This window comes from Homo sapiens, chromosome 5 (assembly GCF_000001405.40).
Source record: "Homo sapiens chromosome 5, GRCh38.p14 Primary Assembly".
In the NCBI taxonomy this organism is placed as follows: Eukaryota; Metazoa; Chordata; class Mammalia; order Primates; family Hominidae; genus Homo; species Homo sapiens.
Genome location: NC_000005.10, coordinates 64,201,399 through 64,219,779, shown reverse-complemented (window position 1 = coordinate 64,219,779; position 18,381 = coordinate 64,201,399). Strand labels below are relative to the sequence as shown.

The 18,381-nt window shown below is 34.3% G+C and overlaps 1 protein-coding gene across 15 annotated transcripts in view, besides 1 other annotated feature; it reads right to left on the bottom strand.

Annotated features, from left to right (window-relative positions):
• The window catches only part of RNF180 (ring finger protein 180), a 207,519-nt gene that overhangs the window by 153,090 nt on the left and 36,048 nt on the right, over positions 1-18,381 (bottom strand). For 13 of the 15 annotated variants that reach the window (XM_047417118.1, XM_047417120.1, XM_017009388.2 and 10 more), the window contains exons 3-5: positions 7,620-7,715; positions 5,263-6,222; positions 2,384-2,419 (exon numbers count right to left, since the gene is read on the bottom strand). In XM_047417118.1, the coding sequence (XP_047273074.1) occupies positions 2,384-2,419; positions 5,263-6,222; positions 7,620-7,715 (1,092 nt within the window). Of the gene's footprint in view, positions 1-1,993; positions 2,420-5,262; positions 6,223-7,619; positions 7,716-18,381 lie in introns of those variants that run through there. The other 2 variants (NM_178532.4, NM_001323291.1) reach the window with 2 other exon arrangements.
• Positions 8,604-8,898: an enhancer, noted in NCBI's record as "tiled region #1263; HepG2 Activating non-DNase unmatched - State 24:Quies". NCBI's record gives its function as "activates a minimal TATA promoter and a strong SV40 promoter by Sharpr-MPRA in HepG2 cells {active_cell/tissue: HepG2}" and the evidence as "EXISTENCE:reporter gene assay evidence [ECO:0000049][PMID:27701403]".

Sequence of the window (18,381 nt, the reverse complement as noted above, 5' to 3'; positions counted from 1 at the left end):
TGGGAGGCTGAGGCAGGCGGATCATGAGGTCAGGAGATAGAGACCATTCTGGCCAACATGGTGAAACCCCATCTCTACTAAAAATACAAAAAAAAAAAATTAGCTGAGCGTGGTGGCGTGCGCTTGTAGTCCCAGCTCTCAGGAGGCTGAGGCAGAAGAATCACTTGAACCTGGGAGGCAGGGGTTGCAGTGAGCTGAGATCGCGCCACTGCACTCCAGCCTGGTGACAGAGCAAGACTCCATGTCAATTGAAAAAAAAATGTTATCCTCATTATTTTCCAGAAAACAAAAAAAAGACAACTAACTCATTTCATAAGGCCATCATACCCTAGTACCAAAATCAGACAAAGACATTACAAAAAACAGAGACAATTTCAGACTAATATTCTTCAACGACGGAGGCATAAAAAATCCTCAAAAATGATTGGCAAATAGTATCTAGTAATACACATAATAATATAGTATAACAAAGTGTAGTTTATGGCGGGAATGCAAGACTATCTCAATATTTGATAGTGAATTATTATTAACATTGAAAACACATGATCATATCAAACTCATACAGAAAAAGCATTCTACAGAATTCAACATCCATTCATGAGAATACTATCAGCAAACCAGAAATGGAAGAAAATGTCCTCAACCTGAAAAAGAGCATACAACTGACATTATATTTACTGGTGAATGAATGCTTTCATGCTAATATCAGGAAGAAGACAAGGATTTCTGCTCTCAACACCTCCATTCAGCATTATACTATAATGAAGAATTGGAAACTATGATTTAATAAAACATTAGCATTTAGCAACAGCATTAAAAATAATAGGAATAAATCTGACAAGAAACGTCAAGAATGTATACTCTTAATAACACAAGATACAAAGTCAAAACAAAAATAGTGTTTTTAAACATTAGCAATATATAATTGTGAGTCAAAAAAATTTTAAATAACAATAACTCCTCTCAAAAGAAAAAATACTTGGTATAAATCTAAATAAACATGCACAGGTTCTGAATGCTGGAAACTGCAAAATGCTGATGAAAGAAATCAAAGACTTAAAAAGAAAGACATACCATGTTCACGTATTACGAGAGTCAACATAGTAAAGATTTCAATTCTCCCCAAGTTTATCTATAGCTTCAATATAATTCCAATCAAAATCCCAACATGATGTTTTATAAATATAAACAGACTGATTTTAAGTTTTATATGGAAAGTCAAAAAATTAAAATAGCTAAACCATTTTGAAAAAGAATAACAAAGTCACAGGAAAAAAGGGGTACTAACAAAAGCACAGACATAAATATGAACTGTACAGAACAGAGTCCAGAAATATACCCACACATTTTCAGACAACTTATTTTTGACAAAGCTGCAAATGCATTTCAATGAAGGAAGGACATTGTTTTCAACAACTGGTGCTGAAACAACTGAGGATCTCTATGTAAAATAATATACCCCTTAAGTCTCACAACTTATTACAAATTAATTTTAAATGAATCCTAATTCTCAATTTTATGTAAAACTTAAAACTATAAAACTTTTTGAAGAAACCATAGGAGAAAATCTTCATAACCTAGTACGAGGCAGAGTTCTTAGATACAACACCAAAAGCATAATCTATTAAAACGTTTTTTGAGAAATAGGACGTCATAAAAATTAAACAGGTTGGCTCTACAGGAAAAAAATTAAGAGAATAAAAAGAAAAGCTATAGACTGAGAGAAAATATTTACAAATCACATATCAAATGAAACACTTGTATCCCAAATATATAAAGAACCCTTAAAAGAAAGAAAATAACCCAATTAAAAAGTGAGTAAAAGATTGTTTTTGTATTTTTTGAGACAGGCTGGAGTGCGGTGGTGTAATCATAGCTCACTGTAGCCTTGGACTCCTGGGCTCAAGCAATCTTCTGACCTCAGCCTCCAAGTAGCTAGGACTACAGGCACACACCACCACGCTCAGCTAATTTTTTTTTAATTTTTTTTTTTGTAGAGATAAGGTTTTGCTATGTTGCCCAGGCTGGTCTTGAACTCCTGAACTCAAGCAATCCTCCTGCCTTGGCCTCTCAAAAGTGCTGGGATTATAGACATAAGCTGCCACACCAGCCCAAAAGATTTGAAGACACTTAACTAAAGAATATATACAAATGTAAAATAAGCACATATGTTCAGCATCCTTAAGGAAAAGCAAATTAAAGTCATGATGTGATACAACTGTCTATGTATTTGAATGACTAAAATTTTAAAACACTGAGAATACCAGTGCTTGCTTTCAAGGACGCACAGAAAATGGAAGTCTTTGCTGCTTGGAATGCAAAATGGTACAGCCATTCTGGAAAACAATTTGACAATTTCTCATATAAGTAAATATATACTTACCATATGATCCAGCAATCCCACTCCTGAGTATTTACCCTAGAGAAATAAAAAATTAGGTTCACACAAAAATAAGCACATGAATGTCTGTAAAAGTTCTATTCATAATTTGCAAAACCTAAAACAATCCACTTGTCCTTCAGCAGCTGAATGGATAAACTGTGGATCATTCATACAATGGAATACTACTGAGCAATAAAAAAGAACAAACTATAAATATATGCAAACAACTTGCATGAATCTATAGGCAATTTTACTGAGTAAAAGAGGCCAGTCTCAAGGTTGTATACTATAGGATTCTATATTTTAACAGTATATTAATATTTTACAACATTATCAAAAAGACAAAACTAAAATAATGGAGAACACATCAGTGGTTTTCAGGGATTAGGGACGGGATGAGCATGTGATTATAAAGGTATATAGCACAAGAGAGTTTTGAGAGTGATCAAAATGTTCTGTATGTCCATTGTGTTGGTCATTATATAAACCTTTACATGTGTGTAAGTCATAAAGCTGTATGTAGAGAATAATTTTATTGCATGATAATTTAAAAAATAAAAATGAAAAACAAAAGGACTATGCTGGATAAAAAAGAGGTTTGCTGGTTAAATGTGGCTCAGTGCTACGTCTTTCCCCAAAGTAGATGCTCAATTAACTTTTGCTAAACAAAAACCCTGAAAACTGGCTGTAATGTCTGCTTTAATATCAATCTCATTTACATCCCTAAGATTCAAATATTTAAATAACTTTCTGTACTGTCATTAATACTTTCTGTCATGGCATAGATTACTGAAAGATGTCTAGCTTACAAACATTTATTAAAAACTTCAAGTGAAAGTTGGAAATCCAGATATATCAACCAATTATTTTAAATTTTTAAAAAACTATCATTAATAATAGTAACTTTTACTTTACATATTGTATGTTTATCCTCATTTTAAAAAGGGCAAGATTGATCTGTACTGAAGTCATTACTCAAAGACACAGTATCACAAACAAGCTTTAGTAAGTGTTTACATAATCTTTATTAAATATGGAATGAACTGCACAGCTATGCCATTAATTTATCTCAGATATTTACTCTTTCTAGGATTTGTCTTTTTGCTTGAATTAGCAAAACAGACTTAAAAATTGTAATTATTCTGGTTCTAACTGCGATGTATACTTATATCACTAACACAAAATTTCTGTGCTGCCATACACTTTAAAATTTACTGTGCTAAATAAACACTGGGTATTTGTTTGCCTGTAGCTTCTGTGCTACCAATCAAACTCTGTAGGATCCTGCCATGTCACTCCCTACACTGACCTGTGACAACAGGTCTAAGACTCATTAATTCTGATCAATTAAGCTATATCATATGTATGTGAATGAATACAAATAACTTCATCTATACAAAAAAAAAACACATTAACTTTGTACTTGCTTTGCTCTAAACTGTGTATAAGAGTATTCCTATGATGGAAAATGATCAATCATGTAGCTGAGGTTTTCAAAACTACCTAGCCTAAGAATTAAACACATTTTTAAATTGCAGATGTTATCTGCATATATTTACAGTACAAAGTATAATTTTCATACTTCTTTTTCATTTCTATTTGCTACAGATTTTAGAGCCCTCCACATTACATTAATCATTTTGAAAATATTCTTTCTGAATATTCACTTAACATATGATCACTTCCAATTTACCTATGTATAGCTCGAGTCTCAATGAAAATTTTGAATTTTACAGTTTAAGTTAAACTATGAAGTATGTTATAATGATGCTAAAACACATTCATTTTTTACATTCTGTAATATATACTTTGATGTCACATTATACTATCACTTGTAAACAAACCAAACTGAAATGCGTTTTAGCAACCAAAAATATAATAAAAAATTACCTATAGAAATAATTATACTATGTAACTGAAAGATGACAAAAACACTCAATCTGAAGCATTCAATGCAGTAGTTTTATTTCATTGAGTCAAAACTAGAATAAGCCATAATGAGTTCACTTAACTATTTTTAAAAGAAAAAACTAATATATCAAGTTGCAGCTTTCTGTATTTTAGTTCTGTTTACAACACACTGATTAATAAGGACACTATTATGAATAAGTAGATAATAAAGTCAATTTGCAAAAAAAAAAGTTTATTCAGAAACATATTGGTTCGAACTTTCAAATGTTCATGAGCATCTCATCCATTGGCTTTAATTGCTTTCTTTCCACAGCACCTAACATTTACTGTTCAGTTCCTTCGCACATCCTACTCTGGAGCATATTACTATGGGTACTGAAGTAGATCAAATCATAGAGAAGCATAGTCTCCTACGAAATTACAATAAGGGTAAATTACCCTTTAGATAATTTTCACAATTTAGCACAGTTAATCATAACTAGATCGTGTGAGCCCATGATTAAGGCTTCTTGAAATACCCACTTAAGCTATTATAAATGTGATGAAAAGTGAATGACTTTGTCACCTGATTGAATTTACTGAAACATTTTTTCAACCCAAAATTTAAAAAAAACATTTTTTCAACCCAAAATAAAACCGCTGCAAAACAATCCTAATATGTCATACATTTAAAATATAGTAAAAAACAATCCAGTGTTAATTAGAGATTAATATCCCTCTAAAATATTAGAATTGCGAAAAATTGCACAAAAGAGGTTTTTTCTAAACATGCATGAAGCATAGAGACTGGGTTATACATGCCAATTATAATATGGCTGCATGATTACTGAGTGCACTCAGAGAGAAATAGCATTTCCAGAATTACTAAAACCAAGTTTTTATTATACAGATGTTGAAAGTTAGCTCCACTCCCCAAACTCCAGTATTTATAATACAGATTTTTAGTAAACTCTTTTGAAAAATATTACCTGCTTCTGTAGCCATCTTTCACGCCTTCGTTGTTTCCTTCTTAGATTCTTCAACTTGCTCCTTTCTCTCTTATTAAGCCTCTGATTAATGCTGCCCAATGAAAAATTGGCTGAGTGCAGGAAGTCCAGAGGGGAGAGGTGCTCTTCCTGGTCTGAGGCCTCCGGCATGCTCCTGCCAGCTGAGGGCAGGTCCATCAGGAAAGTCAGATTGTTAGTATTAGTATGGTCAGAATACACTGAAGCAGCTTCTAGACCACACTGAAATTCTCCTCCTCTTTGTGTCTGGGTCTCATGGGGGGCCACTGAAAATCTTTGCAGCAGCATACTAGGATCAAAACTGGATGGATTCTGAAAGGAATAGCTATTTTTACTAGATTGTAAAGGCAAGCCTGAAAGGTCAATAGGCTGTGTTTCATTTAGTCTGGAATAGGCAGTAGTCTTACTATGTATTTCATATAAAGTGGGTAATAAAGTCAGTTTCTCACTGATGTTCAGATCCAAACTATGTGATTTTCTATGAAAAGCTCTTGTAGCGCATCTGCCAGTCACAAGCTGGGGAACAAAAAGCTGGTATTTTGGTTCTGATGCTTTGGACAGCAGTTTTTCGTTCTTCATCTCAAAATATGTTGGTCGCACCTCCAGGCAGAGTGCTTCTGTTAATCTTCCAGGGTCATTATTATTTCGGGCCATGTTTAAAAGCCTGTGATTTCTGTTTTCAGAGCCACCACCTGTCAGCAGAGCTTCCTTGTCACAACCTGACTGAACTCTAGGATGTGACAAGTATTTCACTGATGGTCTCATTAGTCTGCCTGCCTGTGTTGGCTGATAATCAGTCCGGCTCTTGGAGAGATGTACAGCTGCAAGCTGGCCACAGGAACATTTTGGAGTGCTGACAAAATTAAAGCCCCCTAAACGGGCCCCACAGAAAGGACAATTCAGTTTTCCAACTGTCCACTGGGCCTACAGGTAATAAAGAAGAATAAAGACAGTGCTTTCATTATAAAGTAACTGAAGAGAAATTTTTTTTTCTTTAAAGCCAGCCACATGAAAGTTTTCTATGCCACAGAAAAGGCTAGCTTTCTGTTTTCTGATTAGTAGACTGAACAGCAAATAAAACAAGCCTTCCAAGAAATAAAGATAAGCAGCGCCAAAGTTCTAGAATGATAACATATTGCAAATCATGCCCATCCAAACAATATTCCTAAGAATTCTAAATGAGAGTCTCTTGAACAATAGGTTGAATATGGATACAGTGTGAACTAAAGAAAAATATGCTATGGAACCAGGAAGCAAATCAGTGGACAGAGCTTAATTTGCAAGTAAAATCTCACAGAAAAGTATCTGTTTTGATACACTTCTTGCATACCAAGCACTGTGGGAGGGAACGTTACCCAACCAACAGAATAAAGCTCTTCCTGGCTTTTTACATACAACCAAAATATACTGATTGCATACATCAGACAGTGCATTTTCTATGCTTAGATTGGAAATTAATAATGAACTGTCTTAAAATTATCTTTCCAACTGAGATAGTGAAATATCTGCAGTGTCCTAATATATTTTGTTAAGTTCAGGACACTTATAAACAGTGCACTGGCATTCTCCTAGAAAACTGTTACAGTGTGAAAAGGGATATCTATCAAATGTTATTTTTTAACAAATAATTAAGCTGCTCAGTGGAGAAATGTAATTATATATTTCCAAAGTCCTACTACTTATAATTTTCTAAGACAGGAGTTTTGAATTGTGAAAAATAACTACACATACCAGGTCAGTTCTTGCTCTTATAATATTTCATTAAGGATCCTTTAAAGTGTAGAATTTTCATTTTGATTATACCAATGAGGGTCATTAATTATCCTATTTATTTTGTATGCTTGTGCATTTATGTATATATGTATACATATGAATAACACATACAGAATATTCCATTTATTCAACAGGACTTATTCTTGGTGCTGGGAAATACAAATGAACAAAATATAAAAGTCCCTGACTTCATGGTGCTTATATTCTAGGGTGGGAGCTAGGCAATTAACAAGTTAAATAAGCTATATGTGTATTTAGGTAAATATGTATATGTGTGTGTATAATAATATATATGTCATATATATGCTTCTGTATATTTAAAAGTAACATATATTATGTGTGTGTGTGCATGTGTGTGTGTGTGCGTAAAACACAGGTAGGTATATAAAGCGGAGAAAGGAGAAAAGAAGTGTGAAGAGAGGTAATGGGAGTGAGGAGCAGTAAGAGGTTGGCCAAGGAATGCATCTAAGAAAAATAGCTCTAAAAGGAGGACAAAAACATTCTGAAGGTTGTATATTCTTAATTTTACTCAGAAACTAAGAACTTACTTTTTGGATTAGGCAGCTTATCCATTCTGGAAGGGCTTCTACATTCATGTGCCACACATGACAAATATTTTGAGCATCAACTGAATCATCTTTATCCTGTTAAATAAAAATAAATGATATTACTAATTACCAGTTCAGAATTTATTTCACAGGTTTCATATTTAAGTAAAACTCAAAAATACAAATTCTATTTTAGCTAGAAGGCAAATATACACTGCCTTCCCTTCCTAACTCCCATAATAAAAAAACAAGCCCACAAAAAAAGATTTTTTAAAAATTTCTTCAGGGAATAACGACCTGTGATTTAAGACAAAGCCCTTCCATCTCATTGAGGTCATCAAATGAAATTTACAATTTAGCAGTTAGTTACTGAATGAACACATCTAGTGTCTTTTTCTGCATGTGAGACAAAATAGTGTCTTTCATGGCAACTTTCTCCAGCCCCAAATCTCTATTCTATCTGAATTCTATTAATGACAGAATAAAGTTGCTCTATTCTCTATCAAGATGCTGGATGGATGTGCAGAAAGATGGAGGAACAGAATGATGGGATTCAGGACACACTACCCCAAAACAGGCCTCCTTGGCATACTGAAAAACAGCGGATGCAGGAAGGTCTCACTAACCTTCCCCCTGCCCTTTTCGCCTGAAGCAGGTCAATAACCTAGGAAGGATTTTCTGACCTCCCATAAAGTATGTCATAAGACTCTTACATGAGAGATGCTAAAACTGTCCTTATAAACTTTATAAATTAGCCAAGGAAGAAGAGGGGGACAAACAAAAATAAACCAAGCTTGCAGCACATTGAGCATTAATCCCCAGGTCTGCTTGCTGTCTGACCTGCTTCCTCATGGCTGTTTGCTGCCTATTGCCCCAAATCCCATAGATCCTAGATTATAGTTTCCCTTAACTGCTCTATAGGTAACAACTTGAACATTATGAAACTCAAAGTTTTCCCTTTGAGATATTCCTCTAGTTTTCCCTTTGAGATATTCCTCTAGGTCCTGCATACCAATGAAACTATTAACACCAGCTGGTCTGAAAAACCCCATTGATGCCAGCTGCTCTGAAAGAAGGATACCACCAGAAGCTGACTCACCAAAGAATGTAGTTTCCACATCCTGATGACTTCATCCCTCATTCCCCAACCAATCAGCCACCCCAATTTTCCAGCTCCTCACTCTCCATGGTTTCCTTAAAACTCCCAGCCCAGAACTCCTCAGGAAGATGAAGGATTTGAGGGTCTCTTCCCATCTCCTCACTGGACACCTTGCAATCATGACATTCTTTCTCTGCTGCAAATCCTGCTATCTCAGTGTATTGATCTGTTACTACACGGGCATATGAAACTGTTAGTCCTATAACAGTGCCATCCCCTATACCAGGAGAAAGGTATCTTCAAAACTGCATTTGAAATTGGCCCTCTGAATAAGTTTACCAATTCATCTAATAAACAGGGCAGGAAGAGGTGTACTTCAGTGCAAGTCTGTATATGGATAAGCATATGACAGACTAATAGGTCTTTTGAAAGGTAAATCTTCAATTTTAGCAAGAGAAGAGAAACTTTAAGTCACATTCTATCTCCACTGTTCACCAGCAAGCAAACTGCATGAAAACAAACACCCTAGAATTATTTTTCATAAACCCACAACATAATACAAATATAAACAGATGTTATCAGATTTTCCCCCTCAAAAGAGAAATTCTAGCACATTCAATCATTGATAATCCTAGGGTTCCAAACTTTAATTATTCTAAGACATCTGTGGATGCCAATTTCTACAGAGAGTTTGAGAGAGAGTATCAACACTCTGGTAAGTCCAAGGTTCTCTTTTGACTAGCACTGAAGGAAAGAGCCTGCATCAAGATCATGAACTCTGTGAAGAGCCACCTTAGAAGAGTATTTCACAAAATGTGGTCCCTAGATCACTAGCATTAGACATAAGTTGGGTTACTTACTAAAAATTTATACTCCTGGGACACACCTAAGAGTGTCTATAAATAAATCCCTACTTATGATCTTCATACACGCTAAACTTAAGAACCCAGAGACATCTTTTTTTAGTGTTTGATTTTGTGTGCTTCTGTCATCTGCCTTTTCTAAGTTCTAATAGTGATTAATTTACAATAACAGTTCAGTCATGACTAGCTTTTCTCTCCAACTCATACACAAAATTTTTAAAGAAACTTGGGAAACCTATTGGAAGTGACTCAATAAAACTAAACAGTATAGCTTTATCTATTTTGCCCCAGAAACAAAATAAAGGTATGGATACAGTTTTTGAAAAAGTAGAATTAATTTTGTGAAACATCCATACTCACACACACTAGCTCTTTTCATTAGGAGCTGACAATTATGAAGATTAGCATAACTCTAATGAATTCTTTAAAACAATCTTACAGAGAATACAAACTAGAATTGACAAATGAAGTAATCTTTTCATTATCAGATCCAGAATTTTGTTCTGACTTTTCAGGATTATGTCTACATACAGAGGAAGGAAAGAAGGGTGGCAGTGACAGAGAGAGGGAGGAAATTTCTACACTGGTAGAATAATAGATTATCAATGTCAAAGTAAGTTAATGGCACTCAGCCTATCAATATTTATTTAGTGATTACTAAACACAGTGTTGACCACACAAAGCATGTAGAGACATACTTATTAATATGCCAGGGACTGTGTTGCATAAAGGTACATCTATTATTTGTATTAATGTATTAATATTTCACTGTCCTACTTCTTATTTTACTATGTACATTTCATTATTTCATTTAATCATATAAATTGATCATTTTTTAATCACATAGCATTGATCATAACACGAAAAAACCACTACCCACTATAAATTTTGGAAATGCTTTATGAATACTCCTATGAGAATAAACACTGGAGTCACAGTTGTAGGTAGAAGAAAGTTTTACAATGTACTTATTCTTTTTATTTTCACTAAATAACAAATATTTATATTGTGCTCACTATGCACAGGCACCGTTTTAAGAGTTTTTACTGTCTTACAGATAAGAACACTGAAACAAGCGATCCCAAGCTTCCACATTGCCTCTTATGCCATATAAAATACTATAGTTTTTAGGGCAATAAACTTTCTTATATCTCTAGCCTGTGTATGCTTTAAGGTATGATACTGCTATTCTTCTCTAACGCTTATAAAACTAAAACTGAAGCATATCTTATTTTTAAATTAACTAAAATAAATTTATGTAGGGAGAGGTATGTTTAGAAAAAATTCCACAGCTGATTCTCCTTTTGTACCCCTCAACCCAACCTCCTTCATTTGAGAAAAAATAATATAAAACAGCATATATTTTTTTCTTTTAAATAGCTAAAATTTAAAGTATACCTTCATCTCCTCACAACCAAAAAGAGAGGAATAGCAATTCATACAGGTAGGAAAGCATAAAAAGCTGGGTTGAATTTATAGCATTGTTTCGTTTTCTGAAAACTTTACACATGGACCAGGGTAAACACAGACACCTCAACTATAAATGAAACTGCCAACTACTTTCACCTGTATTTACCAACACAGTCTTAGAAAAAATACATTTTTATTTGTAATATTTATTTCCAATATAATTCTACAAGTAAAGAGGATGTATCAACTATTAAGTTTTAAGTCAGTTAATTTTTTAAAATCACACAAATATATAAATGATAAAACAAGTTTTGATGGACATATTTTAAGATGAGTGATGAAACTGGAGGCAACCCAATTTTAGGAATTTAAAGCCATCAAAGTATTAGCACAACAAGTTATCTCCTCGGGAAAAATTTGACTGAAAATTAGAACTGTTTTACCAGGATTGTAAAAAAATTACTAAACAGATTTTCTTTCTGTCTCAAATCTCCCACACGGAGGAAGGAGGAAGGAAAAGGAGGAGAAAGTAATAGCAATTTCATGTAATAATGTCAGAAAAATGTTGACAACATTATGTTTGTAAATGAAATAATTTGTTCAAGCAGCAGAGGGAGCCAATGTATTATTTTAATTTTTTCTTTAAGTGTTGGGAATATTCTCAGTTTCTATAACAGAAAAATATCACTTAATTTTAAAATTACAAATTTGATGCCTTATTTTTTATCATTATGTGATCTTTAATATTTTTAATTAAGTGTAACAAGTTACATGTAAAAAGTTGATAATATTATTACATAATATTTTGGAAGATGTTTAACCCTTTGCATTTCCAAAGTAAGCAATAACATTCCTTCAGCTAATTCTTTAAATGTGAGCCAACTATATTATTTGACTACCGCAGCTAACACCACAGGGAAAAGACTATGTAACAAAAATGTCATTTAAATTAACATTATTAATTGTCTAAAGTGTCACAAATGTAAAGGAACCACAATTCTATTGGACTGCCTAGTTTGTCTATTTGTACTTTGAGAAGGTACTTTAAGGGTAAAAACTTTTTATAATCAAAAGGTCACAATGAATTGAAAAAAATGAAAGCCTCACTTAAAAAACAAACAGGCTCCCTGCCTCAATTCTTGGTACCTTTCTAATTCACTCTTCACACTATTACCAAAATAATCTTAAAATTCAAAAGTCATGTTACTTCCTCCCACTGACTTGCCAGCTCCTACGATAAAGATCAAAGTCTTTGACTTACAAGACCATACATGATTTGAACAACACCCAACTTTCTACTCTCAGATCTTGCCAAACTCCCTCTTCATCTCTGAACTCCAATAGTGGCAATCTATTTTAGTTCCGGAGATCCACCACAGGGCCTTTGAACACGCTGGTCCTGAATCTTGGAATGTTCTCCCACCTGTACTGTCCTCACTTATCCATCATATCTCTACACAGGTCACTTCCTCAGAAAAGCCTTACAGCTAGGTCCAGCATTCTATCTATATCCTACTCTTATGGCTTCCTATACTTTTCCTTTTTGCCACTTAAACAGCTAATAATTTATATCTATATGAGTAATCAATATTTAATATTTACATAACTGGTCAATATTATAAATATTAAATTATTTCACTATTAAGTTATAAATATCAAACTTTTAATATGATTATAATATAATTAGAATACATTTATAATTGTTATAATATTAATAGAAGATTAAATGATAAATCCTGAAAACTTCATAAGGACATACCATTTCTCTTCTGCTCATCTTTGAGTTTCCAGTTCCTATTACAGGACGTGTGTGGTCTTAGTCTGCTTGGGATGCCATCACAAAATACCAGAGACTGAATGACTTAAACAATAGCAACTTATTTTCTCTCAGTTCTAGAGGCTGAAGGTTTGAGATCAGGGTGCCAGCATGTTCTGGCTCTGGCGAGGGCTCTCTTTCTAGCCTGCAGGTGGCTGCTTACTCACTGTGTCCTCACAGGATCTCTTTCTCTTTTCTTCCTTTTATAGAGCCACAGTCCTATTGGATTAAGGCCCCATCTTTATGCTCTCATTTAACCTTCATTAACTCCTAAAGACCCTATCTCCAGATATAGTCACACTGCACCTTTAAAATATGCACTTGGAGGGCATACAATTCAGTCCATAGCATAGCATGTGCTAAGACTAGTATGGAACAAATATACGGTATCACTAAGAAGAGCGAACACAAAGTATTAAAAATGTAATAAGCATAAAAATATTTATTTCAGTATTACAGCCATTGAAGGAAAAATACCACCAGAATAATAAAGCCAGAGAGAAAATAAGCAAATTATCTAACCAAAAAACATGAGGGAGGAGGTATATACTCTAATAATCAATTCAACATTCATCAGTCCTATTCATGTCAGCCACTGCATTGGCAATGGTGTTATACAGATGAAATACTTCATAGCCTGGTGATGGAAGAAGTCATAACCTAATAATTAAAGTGTTTTATTGTAAGTGTTTGACCATCCCTCAGCTCCCAATTATCTGAACCCAGTAGAATTTGGTAACTGCCCCTAAAAGTCTCATAACTACAATGAATGTTGACCAACGATTTCTTTTAAAACCAATGGACACTTTTAACTCTCATTTAGGGTCTTTACATATGGATATATAGTTTGTATGCTAACTGCACAAATCCAGGGCAAACCTTTCACAAACTAGCTCCCTCTAGAATTGTGCAGTATACAATCTGCACACTGAAGGAAATGTCTGATCTTCTAGATCTCATTTAACATTTAACACGAATCATCAACACTTTTTTTTTCCTAGAGAATGTTCGTCCCTTGACTTCCATAATATTGTATCCTAATTTTCGGTTCTATTTTTTCACTCTTTTTCTTCTCCTTTGTGGAGCTTCTCTTTTTCTGTCTATCCTGTAAGTGTTCCTATATGATAGTAACTACTGCTCTCTCCTATTTTCGGTTCTATTTTTTTCACTCTTTTTTTTTCTCCTTTGTGAGAGCTTCTCTTTTTCTGTCTATCCTATAAATGTTCCTGTATGATAGGAACTACTTAACTCTCACTCCATTCATACACTGCATGGTAATCTCATCTACTCTCACAGCTTCACCTAAAACTTATATGCTGATGATCCACAGTTTTAGTTCAGATCTCTCTTCTGAATCCCACATCCATAGAACCGAGCAGCCTCCTAAAATATTTGAATATTCTACAGGCCACATAAACTTCACATGTCCAAAACCATAACAAAACTAACTAAAACTAAGGACGCCACTCCCTAACACAGATTGCACAAATGGAGACCATTTCTGTTATTTTATTTCTACATCTTTAGGGTCTTTGTTGCTGTTATTTTGTTTTTGGTTTTTGCCCACATTTCATCTATCTCAGGTCTGGATGCAAGGTCGAAGTCCCCCTTTCTCCTTGTGGACGTTGTAGATTGTCTGAAAACTCCATTCTAAATTGCCTTTCTCATGTCTTACAGCATGCCAGTGGCTGGATAACTAAAGCTCAAATATCCCAGTTTCCCTTACAATTCAAATTCCACACCAAGCTAACTTTGACAAACCTGATACACCCACACAACATTACAAAAGCAGAACTGATGGCTGCATTTGTACTGTTTCTTGTGGCAAATTTGGTTTTGGAGGTACATGATTATTCTGCAGCAAACATCACAGCAATTCTAGTGTCCAGTTCCTAGCTTTGGGAGGGCTGAGACAAAGAATGTGAGACTTCCATTTCCTGGCAATGGTCAGGGCTAAAGAAGGCAATTGGTCCTGGAGTCAACAGCTATTGATGTTGTTTCCCCAGTTTCCTTATTCTCTATGTTGTTCTGAGAGCCATTTCATGTCTGCATGCGGAAGACAGGAGATACAGCCCAGGGCACCCTCAGGATGGAAAGAACCTAAGGAGAAACTCCCTACATAAAGCTGATTATAACCTCAGTATGAGGGTAAATGAGAAACCTGTTTCTCAGAGGGCACACAAGGAAACTTGCCTAACTTTGGTATTCAGTAGAAGGAGAGGAAAAAACATTTCCCCTCACAATATAGATTTTCTTAAACAGTACAACACATAAAGGACAGAACTAATACATTCATCAAATTATGAATTTCTTTTCAACAAAGACACCACAAGAATGAAATATAAGTTACATAAACTGGGAAAAAAATAGTTGCAATACAATAACCAAAAAAAGGTTGGTATTTAGAACACAGAATCTCCAAGTATCAAAAACAAAACATCCTAATAGAAAAATAGGCAAGAAAAAAAGACATTTTGCAGAAAACACAATTGACCTCTGAGAATGAGATGTTAAATGTTGGTGAAGACGTGAAATTACAGCAATGCTGAACTATTGTTGGTGAGACTGTCATTTGAAAACAGCATTGCCCAGTAAAGTTGAACATGCACATACCCTATGATGCTGGAACTCCATTTCTAGTAATACTAATGCCAATGTGTGCAAAGATATGCATAAGAAAGTTCACAGTAGCACTGATTATAAGAGCAAGACAAATAGATGTAACCCAAATGACTATCAACAAAGACTTTAGAGATCTTTCAACAAGAATTTCAACAAGACTTTAGAGATCCTAAGGACCAGAGTATATTCTGGAATACTATCCAGAAGTGAAAATGAACTAAATCTACACTCGACATGGTGATACTGAGTAAAAACAGCAATTTCCAGAATAATCACAGTGTAATTTCATTTACAGAAAGTTCATAAACACTTATTATATATATGGCTTATTTTTAACTGTACAGTTACTTTAATAGGTGATAAATTTAGCAACCTTTCAGCACAGTACTGATAAAATTACTTTGGGGTTCTAATAATTTCTTTTGCAGTTTCCTTTAAAGGATCCTTTCATGTTCATTTTTAATATTTTGATAATGTATACAGATTTATAAAATATAAAATATGTTTTATAAAGGGAATTTAAAGAAAAGAAAATACCAATATGCCCACTACCAAGATTAAGCAATTTAACATTAACATTACTTTAGAAGCCCCCCTCAGAGTCACTGCTTCATATTACTCCTTCTGCTAAGACTTAACCATGATATTGAATTATCCCTTCATTTTAAAATAATTTGTGTGTATTTTATATATATTTAGTACATAATTTTTATGTATTTTCAATTACAGATGCAATTTTATATAAATGAATATATTTTTACTTTATAAGGTATTTTCAATGGTTTACATCTTTTATTATGTTTATACATTTTATTTTACATATAAATCTACAGAGACAGAAATAAGATTGGTATGTTGCCTGGGGATGGGAGCAGGACAAATAGGCCTGAGGAAACTTTATGGGGTAATGAAAATAGCTCAAAATTGCAATGTAGTGGTGGTTACACAACTAAAAATCATTAAGTTATTATCTAACAATGGGTGAATTTTATGGTCTACAAATTATACTTTAAAATCTGTAAGACACAAACATATATATGTTCACATATTATCTTTTCTGCAAAGTCTCCTGTGACCAGCCCAGGCAGAATTTTGTTTGCATTCCTCTGTTAGAGTACTCCTCAGATCAGGCTACACTGGTTGGCCTATTTTCAACAAGACTTTAGAGATCCTAAGGACCAGAGTATATTTTTTCAACTCTGTATCACTCTTCCACTATCCATCCCAATACATCCTACAGCAGTGCTAGAATTGTTCTAGGTCATTAAATATGTTTTAATGAATGAGTAAGTGGGAGTTCTCCAGGTAAATAAAAGGATCAGCCACTCCAGTGAGAAGAAGTGACATCATATGATATCCTGAAGGAAGAGCAAAGGCAGCAGAGAGTGTGGAGGTTATGAGCACTGGCTCTGGAGCCTCATTGCCCAGTCCAATTGCAGCTGCACTTCTTAGTAGCAGTGTGAACTTGGGAAAATTACCTAATCTTCTGTGCCTCAGTTTCCTTATCTAGCAAATGGAGATGATAGGTTATCTTCCTCAAAGAGTTACTGTAAGGAATGAATAATATTTTTAAAGCATTTAAAACAGTTCCTAACCAGCAAGTACATAAAAAAGTACGCTACATCATTAGTCACCAAGGAAATGAAAATTAAAGCTGTAATGATATACCACTATACGTCCATCAGAATGGCTAAAATTATAAAGACGGAAAATACTAAGTATTGGCAAAGATGTAACTGGAATTCTCATATGTTGCTACCGAAAGTGAACATAAACTTTGAAAAACTACTAACAATTTCTTAAGAAATTAAACTATACCTACCCCCATGACCCCAAAAATCCATTCCTATGCATATATTAAACAGAAATAATAAAACATGACCACAAAATTTATAAAAATTTTGATAGCAGTTTTATTCATAACTTAAAACTGGAACGAATGCCAATGTCCTTCAGCAGAAAAAAATTGATAAACTGTGGTATATTCATAAATGGCACATAGCTCAGGAGAAAAAAGGAACACACTACTGACACATGCAAAACATAAATCTCTAAAACACTACGCTGACACAAATAAGTCAGGCACAAAAGAATGCATGCTGTATTATTCCATTTGAAGGAATGTAAAGAACAAGCAAACCTAGACTATGGTGAAAGACATCAGTGAGAGGGAGACCACTGCCTGCAGAAGGGCAAGACAAAAATTCCTGGGGTGATGCAAATGCATATCTTGATCTGATTCATGGCAGGGCTGATAAAACTTATCAAGTTGTACATTTAATTTTTGTACTACATATAAGTTATATCCACCAAAATACTCTTAGCATAAAAAGTTTTGGATATTTTCCTAATTAAAATGTTATTTCAAGTCATTAAAAAGTATTCGGTTCGAGACCAGCCTGACCAATATGGTGAAACCCCATCTCTACTAAAAAATACAAAAATTAGCCAGGCATGGTGGCAGGCACCTGTAATCCCAGCTACTTGGGAGGCTGAGGCAGGAGAATCACTTGAACCCAGGAGGTGGAGGTTGCAGTGAGCCAAGATCACGCCACTGCACTCCAGCCTGGGTGACAGAGCAAGACTCCATCTCCAAAATAAGTATTTGGCATGTAGTAAGTATGCAATCAAAGTTATCTACTATTATCAGTTTAGACTAGCTAATTTGTTAAAGTGGAAGGGAAACCATCATGATCAAATCTAACTGAGGTAAAACAACGAAACAAACGAAAACCAAAAAGCTGAGTATGTCTCCCAAAGAAGCGGAAGAAAACAATGACAGGTGATTACAGTCACTCTGTCTGTTAAATTTAGAATTTCTGCCAAACTCCATTAATTACTTTCTAGTTCATGCCTCTTTGATACTGCTCTTAGAGAAGAAATTTTTATTTTTGTTGTTTAAAAACACTCATTTTTTAATCAGGATGACCAAACACACACTTGAATATTATT